This window comes from Homo sapiens, chromosome 10, assembly GCF_000001405.40.
Source record: "Homo sapiens chromosome 10, GRCh38.p14 Primary Assembly".
Lineage (NCBI taxonomy): Eukaryota > Metazoa > Chordata > Mammalia > Primates > Hominidae > Homo > Homo sapiens.
In genome coordinates this window covers 95,348,481-95,375,145 of record NC_000010.11, presented here as the reverse complement: position 1 = coordinate 95,375,145, position 26,665 = coordinate 95,348,481, and the positions used below count along the sequence as shown (strand labels likewise).

At 44.1% G+C, this 26,665-nt stretch overlaps 1 protein-coding gene across 79 annotated transcripts in view; it reads left to right on the top strand.

Annotated features, from left to right (window-relative positions):
* The window catches only part of SORBS1 (sorbin and SH3 domain containing 1), a 249,599-nt gene that overhangs the window by 186,226 nt on the left and 36,708 nt on the right, over positions 1–26,665 (top strand). For 36 of the 79 annotated variants that reach the window (NM_001034957.3, XM_017015539.2, XM_017015540.2 and 33 more), the window contains 4 exons: positions 7,447–7,496; positions 17,343–17,515; positions 20,179–20,264; positions 23,770–23,937. In NM_001034957.3, coding sequence (NP_001030129.2) covers positions 7,447–7,496; positions 17,343–17,515; positions 20,179–20,264; positions 23,770–23,937 — 477 coding nt within the window. Of the gene's footprint in view, positions 1–3,096; positions 3,163–3,718; positions 3,821–7,446; positions 7,497–17,342; positions 17,516–18,040; positions 19,520–20,178; positions 20,265–23,769; positions 23,938–26,665 lie in introns of all 79 variants that reach the window. The other 43 variants (NM_006434.4, XM_047424475.1, XM_047424479.1 and 40 more) reach the window with 6 other exon arrangements.

Sequence of the window (26,665 nt, the reverse complement as noted above, 5' to 3'; positions counted from 1 at the left end):
AAACACATTTTATTCAATGATTGTATGAGACTTTATGCATTGGATCCAGCTTTTGAGTTTCTGTGGTCTGGGATGATAGTTTTATTTGCAGACAGGAATGTATTTTATAGTTGAGTAAATAAAATGTTTTAAAATTTTTTATTAAAACAAAGACAAAGAGAAATTAAGTTGGTGCTTAGGAATTGCTCTTTGATTTGGCAGTGCTGAGCTTTGAAAGTTCAGGCATCTTCTGAGTTAAGAGCACCAGACTTGCAAACAGCCTGCTTGTTCCTCTCTTCTGGTCCCTCCTAGACACTGTCTCCCGATAGCAGCTGAGCTGTCCTGGATGAACAGCGCCACCTAGTGACCAGTGGAGAGGGACGCATCTGACCCAAAGTCTGCACCCTCCTTCTCCCCTCCCCAAAGCATTGGTGCACACCTCATTTCTTCTCCTTTCTCTCCTTTCTTTTTTTCGCCTCTGCTGTTCACCATTCAGACATCAGTTAAATCTACCTCAGGCAATCTTTTCCACGTGCAGTATTTAACAGTATCCTAACCCTTTCTCTTTTCTCCTTTTCTTAAAACCTGGTCAATTATGTCACCGAAAAAAGCTTTTGCTGTGTGTAGTTGTCTCCCCACCCCCAAAACAGACCATGATTGGTATATGAAACAATAATGCCATACTTTAGTCAAGGAAAGCAAAAGCTATTAAGTTATGTTTAATAGAGTCCATGCCGTTGATTTTTCAAGTCTGTTTCAGAATCCACACATTTCTGCCCATCTCATCTGCCAAACAACTAAATTAGTTTTATCTAAAATATTAGCTTTCAGGAAAAATGGTGGAATTTTTTCCCTAATTAGTTGTGATTGTTTTACTAAATCTATCATTACAAATAATTTTTGAGGATAATATATAGTATTTTAATACCAGCATACATTTAAATAGTCTCCATGCATAGCTTGATAAATTAACAGTATTGCTGCCAAAAACTTCACTCCAGGTACCACACAGCTAACTTCAAACAAATGTTGAGAACACAGTCCAGTTGTATACTGGGGCTTTCCTCTAGCTTGTCTCCCCACCCCATTGCTCTAACAACCTCTTAATTATTTAAAGACTCAGAGATGCTTTTTCAAAGTAGCATTTTCTCTGAAGCCACATGCATTCTTTGCACAGGCCTCAGAGTTCTTCTAATGAGACTGCTTCTTTTTGTGTAGGTCTTACTTTAAAAGATAATACTTGTGAAGACTTGCCAAATTAACTAAATCAATGCCCATATCCTGAGGAACAGTCCTGAAATGAACAGCTCCTTATGGTCTGAGGCATCCTAATGGTGGGCTTATTACCTAGTTGAACTAACAGGGTTTGGGAGGAAGGTGTGGTAAGGATAAATTTTTTCTTCACTTCCTACTGCAACCACTCTGCCACAAAAGAGTAAGAGACATAAATAAAAGTGGCATAAACCATGGAAGCTGTTTTGGAAAGCTTTTCAGCCATTCAGAAGCAGAATCAAAATCCTACCAGATCATGGGAATCAGCATTTCTACTTTTTTTTTTTCTCACACCAACTGGGGACCACTTTCCCCAGTAAAGCCTGCCAGAACTTTGACACTAGACATTTACCCTGAACTCCTTGCTTCCTCCACCCCTTCGCTTTAGCCACCCAAAATGAACTGAAATTTCAGCAAGATCCTGACTAAAAAGATACCTTTTTAGCTCCAACAAGTTGTTAGAATAGCAAATAGTTCAAGACTCCAGGGACCATTTTTGGACAGATTATTTAAAACCAGTTTAATTTGTAAACACTGCCCTGTTTATTGCAGTAAAGAAATGATCGTAAGTCATTAGGCTTTAAAAAGTCTACTTCTGCAGATGAACAGTCCAAGTGTATTAAGTGCTTAAAGATGAATGGTAATTGGTAATATCACTTACTTTATGAAATGCGGAATATACATGTGCAGAGATGACATTACTGACCTGTTGCTGTCAGTGGTGAACACACCTTGGAATCAGATTACTTCTCATTTGCAGATTTATTACAAAGAGCCTGGGAATCAGTTTTTTTTCTGAGTTGTTTTCCTCTAATTTCTATAGAAATTGACATGATTTCTATATGTAAGAGCAAGTCAAAATTTCACAATGTAAACCAATTTGAATGCTTCCATGGAGTTGGCTATAATGAAATTTGCACAAAATTTTAGGAGCTATTAATGATCTCCTATTTCTTATCACCCTAGGGGTCATTATGTAAGAAAATTCAAGTCTAAATAGACAGAACAAGTAGAAGAGAGGATCCAGAGTTAGAAGTCACCTGTAACCTCTGAATGTTCCACCCGCTGGACTCTTCCCTCATTAAACTTACAACAATCTTTTGGCAAATTTCTGTCTTAGGAATGCAGCTGTAAATCTGACTTGAAGAGTTAAAAGACAAAACAAAAATAACCTTACAGTCCCCTCTTTAAATTCTGGGTTTAAACTCTGTTCTCTAAGGGGGATGAAAAGTATGTTTCTACCACTATCAAGGTCTAGTTAAACTGTAAAAGGAGGTTTTAAAACTACTGGTATGAAATTGTCTAGTGTACTATTTAACACCCATTTTATATATGAATTTCTTTGCTACAAACCACAGAAAGTAAATTTGGTTCAGTCTGTTGACCAAACCTCTAGATTCACACATGTGTTAATACACAATGAATTTTACAGCAGAAGACTGCCTCAAAAATGTGGAATCTTCAGTGTCAATCTTAGTTTGAAGAGAACAATGAGGAATTTAAAAGTTTCTGTTTTTGTTCAAATTTGTTAATGCTTTTTTTTTCTTTTTTCCCCCCCGTCTTTTCTTAAGTTTTCAATATTTAGAATCCAACGATGATTTGCTCTTGAAACATAGACATAGAAACAGACTTCCTAGGTAACAGTCCCAGCTCCCAAATCCTCAGGCTTCCGCTCCAGCAGGCAGCCTTGTGTCCGTAGGCAGCACCCACTCCCCTTGCTTTTGAGTTCACCTTTCTGTGTTGATACAGTTCTCCCAGTGTACCCCTCCTTGTTTGAGCCAGTCTCCATGTTTGTCTTTATGTCTTTATGCTCATTTCTTCATTTCCTCCTCTGCTTCCCGTCAGCCTCCCAAAAAGATATGGGATTATACTCCTGGAGACTGCTCTATCCTTCCTAGAGAGGATAGAAAGGTAATTCCGCTGTGCCTCCTCCGTTGGACTGTGTGTGCTCTCTAGCCTTGGTTAGTGTGAGTGTGTTGTGGGTTTGTTTGTTTGTTTGTTTGTTTTCTTAAATCACTTTTGAAAAAACTTGATGCTTTTTTTTTTTTGGTTAGGTAATAAAACTATGTAACAAATTCTCTAAGACATATACTAATGTTTAGAGGTTTTTAAAGCAATTACGTATTCTTCTGACATATAGTATTTGTCACTGTCACCACACTCTGAAAAAAGAGAAAATAGGCATTTCCTTAAAGGTAGGTTTTTGTAGTTCTCCGTAGCAAGTAGAATAGCTTTTTGAAGCTCTGATGACTTCAGGATTTCTGCTTTATATGCCTAATGTTACATTCTCTGTTTTCATGTCTTCAACTAATTTCCAGTGAGCTCTTGTGTTTTAATCATGCTATCTTGGCCGTATGAAAGTATAACACTAAGAAAAAAATTCATTTTTTTCAAACGTAACCTTCCATTCTTTCTCCCTTTCCTCTAAACTAAAACCTTCTTTCCCATCTTTTCTTTCTTGAACCAGACTAATCTAGACAAAGATCTCAGCCTCTGCCAGACAGAGTTAGAGGCAGATTTAGAAAAAATGGAGACGCTTAATAAAGCACCCAGTGCAAACGTGCCACAGGTATTTCCTAGTTTTTCTCATGCCATCAGTTCCTTTTCAAGCTGTGCTTTGTTTTCTTCTTTGTTCTATGGTTTTTGATGTAGTTGAGGTGACGGATGGTGATGCTGGCTATTTTAGGCTGCATGGCTTTCTGACTACTGTTTTAGACTCCTTCCCCCACACCTACCCAGTTCATTTTTGCTTGGTTTTCTTTTGAGCTTGGCATCTTCCTTAAAGGGGATTCTTCAAATATATGCAGAGAGGCTGCTGATTGAAACTACTCTCCCACCTTATTCTCTTCCTCTGCTTTCCAGGGGCGACCTTTTAAGTTCCCTTCCTTTGCCTCTGTCTGCCTTCTCTGAATTTTCAGGGAGCCATTTTTGGCAGTTTCCATGTCTTTTTTGCAGCCCTGGGAGATACCAACCTCAAAGATCAGTTTCAAAAACTCAGCAGCAGTGCTTTGGGTACCCTTTCTGTGCATGGTGCTCTCAGAGTAGTAGTGTTTGTCATTTTAAAGTTCAGAAAGTTCTCAATGAAAAATGCACTCAGAGGTCAGATGGCCTGGACACACAAAAAAAGTGTTTGAAACTGAGTCTGCCATGATATTTTAAAGGGAGCTATGTCAAAATGTGGTTTATTAAAGGGTATACGAGAGAGAGTAAGAGAGAGAGAGAAAGACATCATGGTAAGTAGGTTTCCAAGGAGGAAAAAACCAAATGTTCATAGAACTGCCTGGAGGGCTCCCTGACAAAACAAAAGAGACTCTTAAAAGGAAAAGGTATCTTTAGAGAAGGTACAAAAGGAGGCCGGGCGCGGTGGCTCACGCCTGTAATCCCAGCAATTTGGGAGGCCGAGGCAAGTGGATCACTTGAGGTCAGGAGTTCAAGACCAGCGTGGCCAACATGATGAAACCCAGTCTCTACTAAAAATACAAAAATTAGCCAGGCATGGTGGCAGGCCTCTGTATTCCCAGCTATTTGGGAGGCTGAGGCAGGAGAATCGCTTGAATTCGGGAGGCAGAGCTGAGATCACACCTCTGCACTCCAGCCTGGGTGACAGAGCGAGACTCCGTCTCAGGAAAAAAAAAAAAAAAAGATACAAAAGGAATATGGAGCTGAGGAGGCCAGGAAGGTCCACAAACCATGACAGGAAAAGTGGAAACTGCTGATGGACCCATGCCACACTTAAGCAGAACCAAGACAGATCTCCAGCCCCAGTGACTTGGGCACAAAAGTCATGAGAGCAGCAGAGACTCAAACCAGGGAAGGGGTGAAGAGACCGGGGATTTGGTCTGGGGTAAGAGAGTCAGGAGCCAAGGAGCTGCAGGTTGCTTGAGGGTGTTAGGAATTGGGGATCCAGAGACAGCAGAGCATGAGGAAGCCAGCAGGGCCAGGGGTTAGGCTCAAGCTCTCCCTCAGCACTTGAAGGAGCCACCAGAGGCACTGCACACATGGGTGAGGCAGACAGGTGATGGGTGGGGCAGGTGGGGTGGGGTTAGGGGCTGAGTTTCCAATTAGGGTGAAGGAACCAGATTAGCCACTGTGGAATTGAAGGTCCCAGGTGAGAAGAGATCACAACTAGCCCTGGAGTGAGAATGGTGACTGTGGCTGTGGTGAGAGCCCTTGCTGGGTGTGCCAGCATGCAGTGAGGAGGGCAGATGCAAGCCAGGTCACTGAGGATGTTGCAGTGGGATAGTTTAATTAACTGGTGTAAAGAGCAAAGAATTGGGGGATGGGATTAAGACAAAGACAACCTTAAGGTTTTGGCCAGGCAGATGGAAGAATGAGGATGTGAGCACGTCACAGAGGACAGCTGGGAAGAAGATCAGGGCAGAGGCAAGGTGAGGGAGTTGGCTTTAGGTAATTGACCTTTGAGGTGTTGGTTGGGTGTCATATAGGTAATATCCGGTAGGCAGTTGGAACTCTAAAACTAGAGTTCTTGGAAGAGGCATGGGCTTAAGATGGGGATTGGAGTCACCTGAGGAGAGGCGATGGTTGAAGCCCTGGGGATAGAAGAAGATACCCAACTAGGGAGTAGATGAAAGACTGAAGAGGGGATTGTGTTGAGAGAAAGGATGTGAAACCAAGAACTACCCATGGGGACGTTGGGTGATGTGGAACAGGAGAAGGGGAGAGGGAGAGAAAGGAGAGTTCACAGAGGCGGAGGGAAAAGCGAATGATGGAGCAAGAGGAGAAAGCATGAGATCTTCCCAGATGTCCAGAAAGGTGGACTCCCAGGAAGGTCAGTGGATGTGATGACTAAGATGTTTCCAAAGGCTTTGGAGGTTGCTGGGTGAGTAGTTCTTGGGAGTTAGAGTATATGGCAAAGAATCTGGAGCCTGCAGAGGTACAGCACTGAGTGAAAAGATGTGGCCGTGGGAGGAAGGAAGGGAGGGGAGTGTTCCCAGAGGACTCTACAGGGTCAAAGTTTTTTCAAGGTGGAAGACTGGACAGGACAGGTGTTCAGAGATAGGAGACTCAAGAAGGAGAGGATGGGCAGGCAAGACAGTGCAGCCAAAAGGGCTGGAGGATGGATGTGAAGGTAAGAGGGGTGTGCTCTCTGAGGAATAATTGGGGTGGCGTGGGGTACAGTCCTCATCCCAGAGCAGAGGTGCCCTCAGAAATGAAAGCATACAAGCCCAACAGGTTTCAGCAGGCAGGGGGCTAGTGGGTGAGTTTGCCTCTCCTTCCCTGTCATTTCCTTTTCTCTCTTTCACAATCTCTTCCTTTTCTTTCTGTCCTTTCCTTAAATGTCTCTTCTCCAAATAGCTAGTTTTTCTTAAAATGGTCATTATTAGAGATAAGGCCATTATTTAAGGTAGAAGTATCTTTAAAATTAACCTTTGCATTGATTTATTCAACTACTCCCTTATTTTTAAAAACAAGCATATCAAAGCATTTGCATTTTTCTCTCCAAGACAACAGAAACCCTAAACTACAGAATTATGTTGCTTTTTCTCTGCATGTAGCTCTTGGTTGTTTTCTTCCTTTTGCGTGGTGCCTGGTAATTTTATAAAGCATTCCCTTATTCATGCTGAAGTGATCATTAATGTAGTTGGTGAAATTGCATTTCTCCCCATTTCTGCACTCCTAAATTTGCAGGCATACACAAGTTATCTAAATACAGTGTGGTATTTTAAAGTATGCTTTTGTACATGCTGGACCTAAAGTGTTGGGTGACCCTCTCTCTGGATGTGGCATTTGGGGTGCATGAAGGGCTCTGCATTGGGCTCAGAGGGGGGTCTGAGGGCTGTGGAGAAGCTGGTGGAGGATGTGCTGTCCATGTCACTAAAGCATGTTGGCCCACGGTGGGCCATTGCCCAGTGACCTGTGACAGAAGATGAGTATGAGCCAGGAGGCCTTCTCCTGACCCACCCAGAGGGCCTTGGCTGCATCCACTGGAAGGCAAAAGACCAGGAGTAGGAGAGCCCACCTGCCCATACATTCTCCTTCCAGAGAAAGAGCACCACCCTCCACCAGCACCGAAGACCTTTTCCTTCCAGCCCCCCTGACTTCCAGAGGTCCTGGTCTAAACTAGGAAAAAGAAATTGACCTCTCTCTTTTTCCTCTTGGCTTGAAACATATGAGTCAAAATAAATCATCTACATTATTTTTTTCTTCTTTTTTTTCTTTTTTGGACATGTACAGAGCTCAGCCATCAGCCCTACTCCGGAAATTTCTTCAGAGACTCCTGGATAGTAAGTTGCCATTTTATTTTGTTTACATTGCTTACTATGTTAAATGTCAGAAATGGGAAGAGAGAAGTTTATATTTTGGACCCAGAGTGTGTTTTGTTTGTATCAGCCTAATGGCTCTGAATGATGTACAGTTTGGTGATAAAAAGTGATCTAATTATAGTCTTCAAATTATTTTTCTTCTGTTCTGTCCTCCTCTTCCAAATTAATTTTGTGATGATTTGTATTACCTTTTATAAAGTTTTCCCCATTTTAGCATCTTCACCTTTAGAATGGGAGTTTATTTGTCTAAGTTTAGAATCCAAGTTCTTGCCTGGCATGGTGGCTTATGCCTGTAATCTCAGCACTTTGGGAGGCTAAGGCAGGAGGATCACTTGAGCCCAGGAGTTCAAGACCAGCCTGGGCAACATAGACCCTGTCTCTACCCAAAAAAAAAAAAGGAAAAGCTGGGTATGGTGCTATGCATCTATAGTTCCAGCTACTTGGGAGGCTGAGGCAGGAGGATCTCTTGAGCCCAGGAGACTGAGGCTGCAGTGAGCTGAGATTGTACCACTGCACTCCAGTCTGAGTGAAAGAGCCAGACTGTGTCCCAAAAAAGAAAGAAAAAAAATCTCATTTGCTGGTTCTTATGGGGAGGGGAGTGTGACTGAGACAGGCCACATCTGGTGTAAAGATTGTGGGAGGGGGCTGGGTGCAGTGGCTTACACCTGTAATCCCAGCACTTTGGGAGGCTGAGGCAAGCAGATCACCTGAGGTAAGGAGTTTGAGACCAGCCTGGCCAACATGGTGAAATCCTGTCTTTACTAAAAATGCAAAAAATAGCTGGGCATGGTCCTAGCTACTTGGGAGGCTGAGGCAGGAGAATCACTTGAACCTGGGAGGCGGAAGGTGCAGTGAGCTGAGATCGCACCACTGCACCCCAGCTCGGGTGACAGAGTGAGACTCCATCTAAAAAAAAAAAAAAAATAGACGGGGGGAGGGAGGTGCCGAGAAGGGGCTAATTTACCTGATTCTCACATAGATGGGCATCTGTTTTCCTCTGTCAGTTCTTAGGACTCTGGATGATGCATGCATACCCCACTCCTTTGTGGGGTGCCACCAGCCTCTTCCCCTGCCAAACCATCCTGAATCCTATAGCAGATTGCCTTTCTCAGCACTTTGCTGTGAAGCTGTTATCCCAGCTGAAAATGTTCAGTGCTACCCTCACCTCCTGTTCTATATGTGATAAATAGCAAACATTTTAGCTTATATAGATAGGCCCTCGTGGAGCCTTCCTGTACCCAGGCTCACGTTAGTACCTCTGTGGTCCTTACTTCTGTTGCTGTATACCTGACATATACTCTTGTATTTTTATAATTGCTAGTGTATTATAAACTCCTCAAGGGCAAGGCCCCAGTCTTCACAGTGCCTGGGGCACCCAGTGAATTTAGGAAAGGAGCTTGTTCTGGTAGGAGCTTTTCTTATTTTGTCACCATCGCATCTGTGTCTTGTTCTTTGAAATATGACAATGAGGGGAAGACACACCTATTACCTATGCTAGTAGGGTTGGATAAATCCACAATGAGCAGAGTTGCTGAGTGTATAAGGTTTTTTTTTGACAGATATTGTGGTCTCTGGGACATATCCTACCTACATTGCTGGAGAATGTGCTTTACAGGAAGAGTTTCATTTGAAAGTCAGCAGGGATTTGGGTATTTTGGTGGAAAAATGGAAAAATTTAATCTATTTAGGGTAGTGATCAAAAGCTCTAGCTAGATCCATCATGTTAATTTTTCTTCTATAAATATGTGTGTTTCATGATTAATATACCCAGGAGCATAAGAAGAAATTAAGAAGACATATTAAGACAGCAGCTAGAGAAGGACTGCCTTAGGGGACAGTTCCCACCTTGGAGAAGGACTGGTGTAAAGTCTCTTGCATTCACTGTGGGGTTGGTGACTCAGTCGCCAATATGACAGGTGTCAGGGCTCAGGTGTAGCATCACAACCCGTGTCTCCTACTCTGGCTTTGCAGCTCACTCCCTTTTAAAGAGCTTCCAATTGAGCCGGGCCTTCAGCTCTAAAAATGACAATAAGTCACAGGTCCTCTAGGTCCTAGGATGTGCCTTCAGAGATGAAGCCCACCAGATGACCCTAGGCTACCTGCAGATAAAGGGTGTCCTCAAGGCCACAGCTCCGAGCAAGCTCTCCTTGGTCCCCCAGGCCACCTCTTTATTCTCAGCTTGTCACTTTGGCAGTCCTGACTGCCCGTGTTAACCCTGCTGCCTGCTCTCCTCGTTTACCTCCTCACCTCCATCCCCCTAAACTGCACAAGACGGAAAGGGCTTCATGGGACAGCTGGCAGAGTGAATTCCCTAGCTCTACTGGATCCAAGGCACTAAGCTCTGTATTCTAATAGGAATGTAGATATAGTCCCTTAATAGTTTTGGGACAAAACACACACACACACACACACACACACACACACACACACACACACATAAGGTTAGTAAATGAAAAGGCCAAGTGGCAAATGCTACCACAGGCAGTCAGGATAAAGGAGCACAGGTATCGAATAACATCATTTTAACAATTTATCAGGCATTTACTACGTGCCAGGTCCTGTGCTTGGTATTTTATCTACCTTACCTCATTTAATCCTCTGAACATTCCAAGATGAGGCATTATTTTTAATCCCCATTTTATAGATGAGGAAATAGGCACATCAAAGCAGTGTAATGCCATAGTTCCTCAGCAGGTTCAGGGCAGAGCCATATCCAGATTAGGAACGGTGAAGCTCTAGGCCAAGGGACTAGGGTTGGCAGTAAACTCTCATCTGCCCCATACTGATTCAAAATTTTGTAATAAGTTAGCAGAAGATATACTAAGGTTTAATGTTTTCAAGCTATTAAAAAACAATTTAGACCTGGCGTGGTGGCTCACGTCTGTAATCCCAACACTTTGGGAGGCCAAGGTTGGGGGATCACTTGAGGCCAGAGTTCAAGACCAGTCTGGGCAACATGGCAAAACTTCCTCTTTACAAAAAATACTTTAAAAATTAGCTGGGCTTGGTGGTGCACGTCTGTAGTCCCAGCTACTCAGCAGGCTGAGGTGGAGGATTGCTTCCCCGGGAAGCGGAGGTTGCAGTGAGCCAAGATCGCACCACTGTACTCCAGTCTGAGTGACAGAGCGAGACTCTGTCTCAAGAAAAACAAAAAGCAAACACCCCCCCCCACACACACACAATTTAAGCAACTATTTATGATATTGGGTTAGCAGGATTGGAGGGTACTAATGTAAGCTGACTAAAAGAGCAAATTGTTTTCAGACACTGTGAATGTGCGTGAAGATATTCAATCTGTTAATTTACCAAGAATTCTTATTTATATCACTGAAAATAGGTCTTCAAAGCCTCTGTTTTTCAGCTCTCATGAAATACTTGGCAGGAATAAATGAGTTTTTTCCTCCTGCTAGTCTACCATTTGGGGATTTTTCAGTAATCGGGCTTGGTTTTCCCCCAGTTTATCCAAATGAATAAGATTTTTTCATATCTGGAATTGGTGAGGAACCAGCCTAAATGGGGTGCCTGACACAAAGGAAAGCATACAGTAAATGTTTGCTCAATGAATGGATGGATCTGTAAATCTTAATCAACTGAAATCCAACTTGGTTAGCACTGAGGCAGGCAGCTTGTAAGTTGAACCTAGTGCCTTTCACTGGTTGGACAGGAATGATGTGTAGGCAGAAACATTGGCAGGACTTGACCTTAACCCAAAGAATGAAGGAGGAGGAGTCACAGGTGGCCCAGGTTCACAGTTTTGTGGCAACTGGAGAAGTGATGGTGTTGTTTTAAGTCCACTTTAATAAATTGGACAGACTTCAATTGATAATTTTATTAACTAACACTGATTACATATGATAATATTAAAAGAACTGGGAACAGAGAGGAATTCACCCATAGTCCCAATATCCAATACAACTACAAGTCCTTGCCTTCAATATATATATTTTTTATAATTAACATCACAGTGTGTGTCCAGTTTTGTACTTTATTTTCCTAGCATTTCAGATCTATAAATCAGTAGTGGTAACTACTCATTACTTTCATTTCAATGTATTTCAGCATTGATTAACCTTCTTTGCCTAACCAAAGAGCTTTACTCTATTTGACCAGCAGGTGGCACTCAAGAACAAGCTGTTCTTCCCTATATGGTGATGGTAGACTAGCAAACGCTTTTTCCCCTTAATCTGATTTGAGAACAAAACACAGATCATAACCTGAAGAACTATATGAAACAGTAGAGGTCCTCCGGGACTTTACAAATGTGTCAGAAATCTGTATGCATGTAGGCATTTAATTTTATAGAATCATTTATTCCATTAATATTTATTGAACAACCATGCAAGGCACCAGATATGCAAGGATTAAGAAGATAAACTTTCTGCCCTCAAGGGGTTCCAGGTGTAATAGGGGAGACAGATTTGTAAATAACCAGAGTCCAGTGGGGTAAATGCAATGATGGGGCCCAGGAGGGAGGAGTGAGCACCTATTGTTTTGTGGAGGAAGAAAGGTTAAGCTTTATGGAGGAGGTGCAAATAAAATGTGAATAACAATATCAGTATAGATATAATTTTTTTCATGCAGTACAAAAGGCTATAAAATGAAACTTCTAGAGGATTATCTAGACTCCTTCCTGCAAAGCCACAGTTAACAACAGTTAGGTTTTTTTTCTTCTTCTTCTTCTTGAAATAACTAAATTATTTTGAATGGTGAATGTAAGCTTTATGAGGCTGGAACTTTTTGTCCGTTCTGTTGCCTGTTGAATCTTCACCTAGGAGAGCGATTGACACTTAATAGATGCTCAGTAAATATTTGTTGACCGAATAAATGAGCAGTAGAATGACATGATGAGATCTTTTCTAGACAGAGATGACTGGAGGGCATCAGGGCTGGAGACTGGGGGAGCAATGCGTGTTTGTTGTACAGTTGTAGGTGAGCAATGATAAGGCGGGAGGTGGAGAGTAAAGGGATTAATGTGAGCTGTGTCAAAGATAGGGAAGAAGCAGGACTTGGTGACTGATTAGGCTTAAGGAGCAAGGAGAGAGAGAGAAGGGGACCGATTTCCTGAGCTTTCTGGGTTGTGTGATGGAAGATGGTTTGGGACACGTTGAGTTTAAGATGCCTGAGAAACATTCAGGTGGATGTCTAGAAGGCGGTTGAATGTATGTGTCTGGAGCTCAAAAGAAGGGTCTGTGTACATAACAGATTTGCAGGTGGGTTTCTTGTACAATCTCCCCATGCCTATTAGTTTTGCAAGTGAAAGAAATTGAGGCCAAGAGAAACAGACTGTTCGCAAGTTTTTAAACAAGAGTGGGTTTGCCTCTACTGATCCACATTCCTTGTTGGAGTCAGGTGGGAATCCCAGTCTCCAGGACTCTGTCCACTGCCTCCGGAACCTGCCCGTTAGCACAATTGGAAACAGTTGGCCCTAGGATGATTGCTCTGTTCTCTCACTTTACTCTTCCAGTGAGTGTGTTTTTGTTGAATCCCCTTGAAACTCAGCAGCCAGCTCTGCATCTTAGCCAGAGGCTGAATTCTCTGTGCTAGCTCTTCTTGCTTGCTCTTCCTGAACCAAAATCTGGGTTAATCAAGGCTGCTCAGAGCTGAGCTTCTGAACTTAACTTGTTTTGTTAAGTACTCAGCTGCTATTCCTGATTGGACCTTTCTCAACCAGCTGAGGGGATAAGGCTGCTTCTCTCATCCTCTCTGGTACACTTGGACAGAGCAAGTACTCTGTGACCTTGGGCAAATGCCTTTGACATTCTGGTCTTCAGTTTCCCCTTTTGTACAGTGAAACAAATGGTCTCTCTTCAACATTAGAAGATCTGATGGATATGATACACTTAAAAACACTGTTGTGGCTGGGCATGGTGGCTCATGCCTGTAATCCCAGCACTTTGGGAGGCCAAGGCGGGAGGATCATGAGGTCAGGAGCTCAAGACCAGCCTGGCCAACATAATGAAACCCTGTCTCTACTAAAACTACAAAAAAAAAAAAAAAATTAGCCAGGCTTGGTGGCAGGCACCTGTAGTCCCAGCTACTTGGGAGGCTGAGGCAGGAGAATCACTTGAACGTGGGAGGCGGAGGTTGCAGTGAGCTGAGATCACTCCACTGCACTCCAGCCTGGGCGACACAGCATTGTTGTAGAGCTCTTGGGTATTGTTTTTAAACAAGGAGTGCCTCAGTTTCAAAATGTTACCCATCTGGAAAAAGCATGTTTTGTTAGCTTTGGTATCAGAAAAAAAACAATTGGCTTGGCAAATCCATTCTGAGAGATTTCCTGAGTGCTAGTTTATCATTCTGGTAGGAAGCAGGAAAAAACGGTGATAATGGGTGGAATAAGGCCAGAGAGTGAGGTGGCTGAGGGGTTGGGGTGGGGTGAGATCTGACTGTTGGTGAGGTAGAGCAGAGATGTGAGGTCAGGCAGCCAGTTATGGTCAAGAGTCATGACAGAACAAAGTTATTAGGAACTTAGGAAGATGGCTTAGAAGTTCTGGACAGGCTGGGCATGGTGATTCACTTCTGTAATCCCAGCACTTTGGGAGGTCAAGGTGGGTGGATCACCTGAGGATAGGAGTTTGAGATCAGCCTGACCAACATGATGAAACCCTGTCTCTACTAAAAGTACAAAAATTAGCCGGGTGTGGTGGCGCATGCCTGTAGTCCCAGCTACTAGGAAGGCTGAGGCAGGAGAATCACTTGAACCCGGGAGGCAGAGGTTGCAGTGAGCCAAGATGGCACCACTGCACTCCAGCCTGGGCGACAGAATGAGATTCTGTCTCAAAAAAAAAAAGTTCTGGCCAAAGCTGAGGCAATTCAAAGGATAGCAGGCACAGCAGAATGGAAGCTGCTGTCAGTCACTCTGTTAAAAGAAAAACTTTAGACAAATTAAATTTAGCAGATTTATTTAAGGCATAGAAGGATTTATGTTCAGGCAGCCCTTAGAACCAGGGGCAGTTCAGAGAGCTTCACCCAGCAACATGGGCAGGCAGCATTTATAAACAACAAAAGACAGCAAGTACAGCTACAGCTGGATTGGTTGCAGCTCCACAGTTGCCTATTTGGGCATTTATATAGATGTGGGCTGATCAGTTGGCAGCCTGGGATTGGCTGAAGCTTGGCTGCTGTGATTGGCTGAGACTCAGCTACTTGTTATAAGAGCATACTCTTAGATTGTACTTTGTTTACATAGTTAGGTTGCAGAAGAATAGGAACTCAAAGTATGGATGCAGCCTCAAGCCCAATTTAGTTTACTGATCTCCAATGCTTAAGGAGGTGTGGTAGCCCCAAACCAAGGTGGGAGGGGCTTCAGACACCATACCTTCAAAAGAGACCTCAGTCACCACAGCTGTTGGTCAGCAAAGATAAAGGACATCTATTCATGGATGTTTTTGCTGTTGAAGTTATACAAAAAAGAGGAAACATAGCATTAAACTGAAGGGCAAAATCAGAAAATGCAACCAAAGGGAAGAGGGTGGATAATGAATAGGAAATTTAGAAAAGGGACATATTTATTTTTAATTAGGAAATTCAAAATTATAAGCCAGTTTAGATCAACTCACATTTATTTAAATTGGCATATGGTGCCACAGCCTTGCAAGCTACCCTCAGGTTCTTCCATCTCCTCTAAGTAAAGAGGAAAAGCATTTGACCTCCACATCCAGGCCAGAGTGAATTAAGAGGGTCCTGGGGGAGCTCTGACCCCCACCCTCGGCAGTCCCCTGAAATAGGGTATATAAAGCCCTTAGCCCCAGGTGGGTACAAGGTGAGGCTCAGTAAGTGGCAGCTCTGCGAGGGGATTACCAGTGCCAGAAGCAATAGTATTGCTCAGGGGACTTTATTATTCTAAGGTGGAGATGTCGCGGTATTCTACCAGAGTCCCCACCTCTTTTCCATTTCTGACTCCTGTGTCTGGTGCCGCTTATCTTAGGGGTGTATTCATGGTGAGTAACACTCAGCAGTGATGGTGTATACGGAGCTGGAGCATCCCTGAGCTCCCTCTGGTTCCTGTGGTGTGCAAGCCACTGCCTCCTCAGTTGTAGGAAAATGTTGTATCTATTAATAAAACAGCAGCTGAAGGTTGGGCACAGTGGCTCATGCCTGTAATCCCAGCACTTTTAGAGGGCAACGTGGGAGGATTACTTGAGGCTAGGAGTTCAAGACCAGCCTGGGCAACATAGTAAGACCCTGTCCCAACAAAAAAATAAATTAATGAGCAGTAAAATAAAACAGGAGCTGAGAGAGAATACTATCCGTGTAGTGCTCAATGGCCTAGTTCAAGTTCCAGCCCTGCCATTCTGCTAACCTGCCTACTTTGACAAATTACTGAATCTCTCAGTGCCTTGTTTCCTCATCTAAAAAATGGCAGAAGTAGGAATGTTAGGATTGAAGTGATAATGATCAATAGGCACGGTGCCTGCCACATAGGACGCCTCACCAAGAGGTGTGTAGAGTTGTTTTTGCTGTCATTACCAGTGACCATGGGGACTCAGAGGCTGCAATTATGCACAGAAAGAAAGGCCAGTTTCCCGGAATGTAAAAGCATCACATTATTGATCGTTGCTGGTTGAGTAGAGGAAAATATAGCTGGACAGATGTGTGATCAAGCAGTCACAGTTTGTGGCCCCCGTAGAAGCTAGGTGGGGGGAATATGGGTGTTCACTCTGTAATTCTTTAAGCTGTTCTATATGTTAGTTGATGTTCACAATGAAACAGAGGGATGAAGGAATTCCACCTAGCAATGGGTCTTCAGAGCTGAAAAATCTATTTTGATACCAGTAACCTGAGTTGGGTAGGAATAAAAGAAGCTCAGCAGAAGCCTATGTGGTTCTGCGGGATAGGAGTCATTCACTTAACTGAGAAATATGTGTGTGTGTGTGTGTGTGTGTGTGCGCGCGCGCGCGCGCGCATGTCTGTGCATGTGCGTGTCTGTGTGTGTGTGTGTGAATGACAGTGTGTTAGTGGCAGGCATAGAAAAGTGGGATTAGGAGAAGGGAGGGACTCAGTGAGTAAGTACCCTTGATTTTTTTTTCTGTGCCTCACCTCATTCCAAAAGGAATTTGTGGTAACTTGCAGAAATACCTCGATGTTAACAAGATAAAAATAAATGGAGGCTATAAAGGAGCAATTGTTTATGCTTATACTACATGTCAGGTCATAATCTTCTGAACACAAACTTTGAAAGAAGTGAGTGCAAATGTGGCTGTGATACTAAGAGCCCATAGAATCCCAGGTTCCAATTTCACTTGGTCACTGATTTTTCTGGAGACCCAAGACAGTTGGGCTTCCCCCTTTCATTGATGATTTTATATTCCAAATGCTTACGAAGAATAACCAAGAAAAATAATCCAGGTAGTGGACTTGAAGTAGCTGACACTGCCTGGCTACGTGACAGAGGCACGTCTGACAGAGAGCTTGACTGCACCATCTTGCGTGCAGCCATTGGGTCCTCCTGCCCTCCCCTATGTGTGATCCTCCCCCTGTTCTCCCCTATCCTTCCTCCAACCCTTCTTCCCCAGGCAGCGTTCCACAGAATTTTTCTTTTAAAGCACAAATGTAGCCATTCCAATTAGAGAACTTTGCTGTTTGGTCAAGATTCCTGAGCATTCAGGGCTCCATGGGCCTGTCTGTAGAAATGTCTGTCTAAATAAGAGCACTCTTTAGAAAGGACAGTTCTTGATTAGGATACCAGGTGTATTTCTTGTCCTCAGCAGGTAATGTGCTGTTTGAAAAATGTTAAAAGCACTAACTCCTATTCTTATCTTTATTTTTTCCCTTTTCTCTCTTTCTTTCAAAATTACCTGTTCATAGTATATATTCTTCCAACTTCCATGCAGTGAAGAGGGAATCAGACGGGGCTCCTGGGGATCTCACTAGCTTGGAGAATGAGAGACAAATTTATAAAAGTGTCTTGGAAGGTGGTGACATCCCTCTTCAGGGCCTGAGTGGGCTCAAGCGACCATCCAGCTCTGCTTCCACTAAAGGTAATTAACTGGGTGAAGCCTGCAGGCCTCTGTCTCCCATCCACCTCCATTCACTGAGCGTCGGCCGTGGTGAACCTCCAGCAATGGGGATAAGTCCTGCCTTGTTCAGACCCACATTCAGGCCTCAGAGCCCTCTTAAATTCCCTCCCCTATTTTCTTACCGGCCATTTTTCTTTCTGGTTTTAATAGTTTCTGTTCCTTTGACCCCCCAACCTTGTTCTCCTTCAAGATTTCTCTCTCTCTCTCTCTCTCTTTCTCTCTTTCTCTCTCTCTCTCATTCTAATTACCTTTTCTTAGAAATTAGCTGAGCTTTAGCCATTCCTAACTCTAGCAGGGTAGCCATTTTTTTTTGTTGTTGCATCCTTGCACCTGCTTTGCAGCACAGATTATTTTGCTTCCGGACCTCGACTGGAAATTTTTTAAAAGCCCTTATGACAAATGAGCATGTTACCTCTCCTTTTTCTTTTTAGCAGCTTTCAGCTTTAACCTAATGGGTCTATTTATTTTATTCTGCATGCTTACCAGTGGATCGTAAAGGTGGGAATGCTCACATGATTTCTTCATCTTCAGTCCATAGCCGAACGTTTAACACTAGCAATGCGTTAGGCCCTGTGTGTAAGCACAAGAAGCCCCTGTCAGCTGCGAAGGCCTGCATTTCGGAAATCCTTCCATCCAAATTCAAACCCAGGCTCTCTGCTCCCAGCGCTCTTTTGCAGGAACAGAAGAGTATCCTCTTGCCCTCAGAGAAGGCTCAAAGCTGTGAGAACCTTTGTGTTTCTGGTTCTTTAAATGATTCCAAAAGAGGCCTCCCCCTCCAAGTGGGAGGGAGCATTGAGAACCTGCTCATGCGCTCCCGACGGGATTATGACAGCAAGTCGAGCAGTACCATGAGCCTCCAGGAGTACAGCACCAGCGGCAGGAGGCCCTGTCCTCTCTCAAGAAAGGCTGGGATGCAGTTCACCATGCTTTATCGGGACATGCACCAGATCAACCGATCTGGCCTCTTCCTGGGCTCCATCTCCTCCTCCTCGAGTGTGCGGGATCTTGCCTCCCACTTTGAAAAGAGTAGCCTGGCATTGTCCAGGGGTGAGCTGGGCCCCAGCCAGGAGGGCTCGGAACACATCCCCAAGCACACCGTCTCTTCCCGCATCACCGCTTTTGAGCAGCTGATTCAGCGGTCCCGTTCCATGCCATCCCTGGACCTGTCCGGAAGGCTGAGCAAGTCTCCCACACCTGTGCTGTCCCGGGGCAGCCTGACCTCAGCCCGCTCGGCCGAGTCCCTACTTGAGTCAACCAAGCTCCATCCCAAGGAGATGGATGGGATGAACTCCAGTGGGGTCTATGCTTCCCCAACATGTAGCAATATGGCACACCATGCCTTGAGCTTCAGGGGCCTTGTGCCTTCTGAGCCTCTCTCCACCTGCTCTGATGACGTGGACCGCTGTTCAAATATCTCCACTGACAGCAGAGAAGGCAGTGGCGGCAGTGTTCATGGAGATTTCCCCAAACATCGCCTCAACAAGTGCAAGGGCACCTGCCCGGCCTCATACACCCGCTTCACCACCATCCGGAAGCATGAGCAGCAGCAGACCTCTAGACAGCCTGAGTGGCGCCTGGATGCCAGAGGGGACAAGAGCACCCTCCTCAGGAACATCTACCTAATGAGCCCCCTTCCTTTCCGGCTGAAAAAGCCCCTCCACCACCACCCCAGACAACCTTCCCCTGGTGACTCCTCAGGCCTCCTGGTGGGCCAGAAGCCAGACCTCCCCAGTCAGCCCCATCAGGACCAGCCCCCTTCTGGGGGGAAGCCCGTGGTTCCCACACGCCTGTCTTCCCGACACACCATGGCCAGGCTTAGCCGCAGCTCAGAGCCCTCTCAGGAGAGACCCACGGCCCTGGAGGACTACCCAAGGGCCATTAATAATGGAAACTCCGTGCCATACTCAGACCACAGCCTGGACAGGAACAACAACCCACAAAGTGAACTGGCACCATCCCGTGGAGGTGGCATTTTGTGTGTTTGCCTAGTCTCACCTGCCCGTCCCTCCACTTTGCTTGCATTATCCCGTCCTCCTCTGTGCCCTTGGTGCTCATTTTCTGGTCTGTCCTTTGTTTTCTGTTTGTTTTGCTTGGCAATTAATCATGGCTCGTAGTGGCTGCACTTCTTTAAAAACAAAGCCCCCATGTCATTTAGACTAACCACCAAACTGTGTTTCGAAAGAAAAATTGGCCGTTTAGCTCAACTGAGAAATGTGTTCATTTGAACTCTTGAACCCCTTGCTGTTTGCACCAATCCCCAACATACCCCATGGTTTTTTGAGAGGCAGCCTCTCTCAATGGCCCTATATGTGTGTGAGTGTGTGCCTTGTCCCTATAAGGTCCTGCACGCCTCTTTGTAGGGACACTTTACAAAGAAAGTTCTCTCATTTTGCTCACCTTTTGCCTTTTGAGTAGTTTTCTTTGCATTAAACTAGTTCACAAATAAATCCAAAAAATGGGGTGGGGGGTGGAATTTTTTTTTCCTTCAGAATTCGACCATTGATCATTAATCAAGAATGACTTCAAAATTTTGATATTTATAATAGATGAAAGGTGAACTCTTTTCGCAAGCTGGTTTCCAGCGAAATCTTTGCCTGTTTTAACTCTACTTTGTTGTTTTAAAGATTCAGAATCGCCAAGACATTTTATACCAGCTGATTACTTGGAATCCACGGAAGAATTTATTCGAAGACGTCATGATGATAAAGAGGTAAATCCCATCTTTTAAATCCATTAGTTTTTGCTTGGAAAAATGTATGAAGCAAGTACAGATTCTTGACATCTATCAGAGAGGTGACATGATCTAGCAATTAGAGGCAAAAATTGAGGCTTTCACAAGTGATTTTTTCATATGACATAGGCTCAATCATGCCTCTTTTAGTGGACTTTTCCAAAAAGTAGGACTGATTTCCCCACAGGCACTAGCTTATAAATGCCAAGTCCAGCCAGCACTGCTGCATGGGAGATACAGAGATTGTCCACTGCTGCACTTAATGCCCTGTAAGCTAGAAACCAGAGTTTGCTCTTTCATCCCCGCTCAACCCCACCCTTGATAATCCCTAAAGAAATCCACCTGCATATTTCTCCAATACTGCCCACCCCTCTGTTGGCACAAAGCATTGTTCAAATTGAGAAGGGTGCAACAGGAGAAAGAGGAAAATGAAAAATAGTAATGACCTTGATACATTTTATAAAACAATTTGAGGAAGTTGCCTATAACTCTCTTGCTTTCAATTCAGAAGAAGGCAGATACACCAAGAAATGCTGGAAAACCCCAGCCAAGAACTTCAAAATGTGTATATTTTCTTGTAGCTACTGAAATGCCTGTCCTGCCATGGGGTGACTGTCAGGGCCTGAGAAAGAGCCCCTTTTCTTGGGGATTTGGGAAGAGGAAGTTCTTCATATCAGCCAAATGGGCAAAATCACAAGCTTCTGCTGGGATAAAGCATTGTGATGATACATGCTTTCTGGGCCTCACATCCCCAAGAAAAAGAGTCCTAGAGATTAAACAAGCTCCCAAGCCCATATTCCTGAAATGAATTAAGAGCTGGAAAAATCACCTTGACCTGGTAGCAGTGGGGGAGGGTGTGCGTGTGTGCACAACTCTGTCCTGGTCACGTTCAAGTCTGAAGCCCTTTTTCTCTGTTGTTCTGCTTTGTTGAGTAGTTCCAGAGTTTAGGTGGGGTTTCCCGAAGGATTTAGGATAAGGCTGACTTGGGGATGAGTAGGATGATGATAATTATTGCCACCAGATGGTGAAACAAAAGACAAAAATAAAACCACCGTGGCCAGGTGCAGTGGCTCAAGCCTGTAATCCCAGCACTTTGGGAGGCCAAGGCAGGTGGATCACTTACTTGGTCAGGAGTTTGAGACCATCCTGGCTAACACAGTGAAACCCCATCTCCACTAAAAAATACAAAAAAATTAGCCGGGCATGGTGGTGGGTGCCTGTAATCCTAGCTACTCAGGAGGCTGAGGCAGGAGAATTGCTTGAACCTGGGAGATGCAGGTTGCAGTGAGCCGAGATGGCGCCATTACACACCAGCCCAGGTGACAGTGCGAGACTCCGTCTCAAAAAAAAAAAAATGAAACCACTATACCTCTCCCCATCTCCAGGCACAATTGAACAGTACTCAGTAAGAAACTTGCACCTGTCCATGGAAAGAAACAAGAGGAAGCATTTGATGTATAGTTATTATTTGTAATAACTCACTAATGATGAGTGTCCATCAGGCCATAGAGCAGATTCATTTCTATAGCTCTTTGTTAACCATTTCCTGCCACAAGATATAAGATTCCCATGTATGTAGGCCAGGGCTGCTATGATGAAGGAAGGTGAAATTCCATTTTAGTAATATAAGCCCTAGTCTCTGACCTAGAAGGTTTTATGGGACAATTCTTGCCTACCACATGGGAGGTGTAGTTTATCTAGTGGTTTAGCAATTGATATATTAGAAGTTACATAAGAAGGTGAGCAGTTGTCTCCTAAATAACACTGGCTCATAGATTCTTAAAAGTTTTGTGTCTTTATCCATGGTTTTTGGCTTATATGGTTAAACTACAGGGCTGAGGGACTTACTAAGGTGAGATTCAAGTACTAGATTGGGAGCTTTACCCCATTCGATGTCCACTTCCACTGATTATGTTTAACTCCAGCCAGAACACAAGGGGCCTTGAGTAAGAACTGTGGCAGTTTCAAGCATCACTCCATTCCCGTGGCTACAGAAACAGCTCACACTCCCCAGCTCATGGGGTGTCAGTCAGGCCCTCCCCATTGCAAATACTTTATCATTGACATGGATTTTCAGAAAATGAGACATATCAGACTTGGCAGGAACATTAGTGGTCATGTAGTGAAGCCCCTGGTTTAGTCCAGGAAGGGACCACAGCAAGGTAGTAACTTGCCCAGGGCTGGATAGTAAGTTAACTTATACCAATAGCAGAGCTAGAAACCAGGGCTCCAGATGCCTGGACCAGCACTCTTTCTATGGCACTGGGCTTCGCAGAGGACTTTCTCATGTCTTTTCTAATTTAATCTTTACAACTTATTTGAGTACTGGAAATCCCACAGCCATTTGATGAGTTGTCACTTCGTTATTTGTAGTCTTTGGAGAAAAATCGGGCCCACCCTCCTTTAGGGGTGCAAGTCACATGAGGCATTTAATTGCCTGCTGGACGAAGCCTACTGTCTTCCAATGCTAAGAATTATCCATTCTAATTCATGCTTTCCTACAAGGAAAGTTAATCCCAGGAAAGTAAGATTGTTTAGTATCAGAAAACACATTAAAATTCTATTCCATGGGGTCATTTTAATGGGCATTGAGGGCATTTGGTAAAAAGCAACATTGTTTGATTTTTCAAAGAAGCCTTTAAAAATAGAAATAGATGACTTTTTCCTTACTCTAAGAGAGAATATTTCTTCTAATCCCAGGTAGCGTTATTCTTAGGGTTTTTTTTTAATATTTATATTCTCTGTCATTCCCTTTAACTCAGCTTCATTTCACCCAGTGAAGAAGTCATTCAGTAAAAAAGTAAGTGATGCTGTCAGCCACATAATTAGCCTTTGGTGCATATCCTAAGGCCTTCTAAAAATTGTGCCTAGGGGAAGAGTTGGCTGCCTAGAAGGGGCATCATCCTTTCTGAAATGGGCAAGAACATATTAGAGTAAGAGATACAGGAAGCACAAAAATGACCTGGTGCCATAGACTTCACTAGCAGAAGCCTATAGCAGGTTTAATAGGCCTGAGGTGGGTAGGAGGAATTGGCCAGCCCTGGTCCTGCCAGGGGAATATGCTGTAGGAATATATCCCTGCCTAAAAACAGGGTAGAGATGGCACTTCCAGCCTCCTGCTGCCAGCCCAGCATGGTTGGGAATGCCCTGGATGTGCCCCCTGGCTCACCTGGCCTTTTGCTGCCAGAAGCAAGAGGCTTTGGGCTGAGCCGGGGGTAGGTAGTTTGCTGGACAGTGTAATCATGTGGAATCATCCTTCCCCTATCCCGGCTTTTCCAGTGAAGTGCTGCCTCCTTTCTACAGTGCTTGGAGGGTGGTTATGATGGGAGTGTAATAGTTGTGGCTCTACAGCCGTTCTGACAGCTGAGTCTTAAAGCTTCTGCCCCATTCACCCAGTACCTCCTTCCCTAATTACTTTTGTTGGCAGTTTTCTAATATGCTGGAACAGATGATTCACTGCCCATTTTATGCAATTTTATGGCAGAAACTTTTAGCGGACCAGAGACGACTTAAACGCGAGCAAGAAGAGGCTGATATTGCAGCTCGACGCCACACAGGCGTCATTCCGACGCACCATCAGTTTATCACTAATGAGCGCTTTGGGGACCTCCTCAATATAGACGATACTGCAAAAAGGAAATCTGGGTCAGAGGTCTGTTTTGGTCACCTCAATCTGCTGCTTGACCCAAAGCAATATTTGCCTATTTGCCTCCCCTCAGCATTGTCCTCTGTAGGCCAGTTTAGTTCTCCAAACAGCATCTGTCATCCTGGCCTCCCTTAGGCTTGCTTTGGCTTCTTGCGGCTGGTAAATAGACATGACCCCATTATGTCCTGTGCTCTGTATGTTCAAGCATGCCTGGCTGGGGGACCGGGATCTGCTGGCACATGCCCCTGTTGCATGCCTTAGACCATTGGCTGCCTTCATGAGTCCAGCCCTCCACATCCTGCATTTTATCATGCTACTGTGTTGCCTGTGCATTCTGCTTAGAAACCTTATACCTGAGTCCATATGCATTGGTAGCTATGGTGTGGACAGTTACACAATTCTTCTTTGAAAAGATGGTTAATGAAACTTTACGAAAGTTAGCTTAACAATAATTTATGCCATTTACAAAGGCCTCCAAATTTAGTGACATTAATTTTGAAATATAGAACAGTGCTGCTGCTCACATGTAGGTGGATGAATTGTGTGAAGTGTTCAGCAGTGCTGCAGTAGTGCGCCTCACTAAAGAATTTTGAAGCCCAAAGACTTTTGCAGTTAGGAAAAACCCACAGAGGGTAAGAGAGTTCTCCAAGGGACGTTTCATTTGTTCTTTTAGTTTTGACATTTCCAAGCCTAGATTATGAAAGCTTAATATTATAAGAGGAAAGAGAAGAACAAACTTTGAAGTGATTTTTATCCAGATCTTGGCCTCCTGCACTAAGGTCAACATGTCGAAATTCTCATGCTAGCCAAATGCTGTATCTTGCGTAAGAGTTTATGCTTTGCCATGTAACCCTTAAGTAGCGCTGCTGAAGATGATCTCTTTTAGGGAAAATGGGTAAGTCTGGGATTTAGGGTGGGAGCTAGGGGAATGGGGGAATAACACCCAAAGTATGTACTGTTTTATAACCTTTCAGTACAGTAGATTAATATTTGTTTCTATCTTTTTTATTTTATTTTTTATTTATTTTTCTATCTAGAGTATCATTGCCTATCTTTTTTATTTTAGAAATATGACTGGGCATAGTGGCTTACACCTGTAATCCCAGTACTTTGGGAAGTCAAGGTGGGAGAATTGCTTGAGCCCAGGAGTTCGACACCAGCTTGGGCAACATAGTAAGACCCCCATCTCTAATTAATTAATTAATTAGATAGATTGGTAGATAGCCAGGTGTGGTGGCACATGTCTGTAGTCCAAACTACTGAGGAGGCTGAGGCAGGAGGGTTGCTTGAGTCTGGGAGCTCAAGGCTGCAGTGAGTCATGATCATGCCGCTGCACTCCAGCCTGAGCAACAGAGCAAGACCCTGTCTCAAAAAAAAAAAAAAAAATGTGTCTGGGAAGAAGAGATAGTGAAAAGAGGGAACCAAATTAAAAGAAAGAAAGCTGGCTGGGTTTAGTGGCTCAAGTCTATAATCCCAGCACTATGAGAAGCTGAGCCAGTAGGATCACTTACGGCCAGGAGTTCGAAACTAGCCTTTGCACCATAGGGAGACCTCGTCTTTACAAAAAAATGTATATATATAGAAAAATTAGCCAGGCTTGGTGGCACACGCCTATAGTCATAGCCACTTGGGAGGCTGAGGTGGGAGGATCACTTGACCCCAAAAGTTCAAGACTGCAATGAGCTATGAACACATCACTCCACCATGGATGGCAGAGTGAGATCCTGTCTCAAATTTAAAGAAATTTGAGGCTGTCTCAAATTAAAAGAAAAAGGAAAGCTGGGGAAGAGAAGGAGACTCTAAAATGATGGAGAGAAAGAAAATCTATCAAGGAAGAAGCAAAAGTTAGCGAATGTTAATTGCAAGGGAAAGATAGCCCTTGAGCCCTCAACATTCCAGCTCCTCCTCAAAAAGGCCCTTCTCAGAAGGCTCTGGGCATGGTTTGTCCTCACTGACAGTCCTGCCTGCTTGTAGGTAGAAGAAGATGGGAACAGGTGAAGGCACTACGGCTGCACACTTACACATGTACATGATACATGCAAACAGAAATGCACCGTGGGTGGAATAACCACAGACAGAGGCAGGCAAACTCAGCTCAGTGAGCCTGCCTCCCTTCTAGAGCAATGCTTCTCAAACTCTGACAAGTGCGTTAGCATCCCCTGGAGGGCTTGGTAAAATACAGACCCTGGGTCCTATCTGCAAAGTTTCTGATTCTGCAGTGGGGCCTGAAAATTTACATTTTTAACAATTTCCCAGGTGATATTGATTATACCAGTTTAGGGACCACATTTTGAGAATCACTGCCCTAGAGGTTGACTGTGGACTAGAAAAAGTAGAGACCAACACATCCCAGGTGCACCACACTGTGTCAATGCACTTCAATCCCATTCGGTAGGACTTGGGTGACCACAGGTTCTGTGTAAGACCCTATGGGAGGCAGAAAGAACTCAGTCTGTGCCCTTGGGGAGCTGATAGTGGAAGTCTCCCTCTTATACAGTTATCTCTGTCCTGTAGTAAGTAATACAATACTGTGAAAGCCAGAGGAGGGAAAGATGGATTTAGCCTTGGGAGCTATAGGGAGATAAAGAAGGAGAGGATGTTGCTTTGTATAACCATCGATGACTCACATACACGTCTCAAGAGTTCAATGGAATCAGTGAATTTTAACAGGTCTTTAATGAAAAAAATCTCACCACCCCACATTATTAACCTAAGTCTGCTTACAAAGTAACCA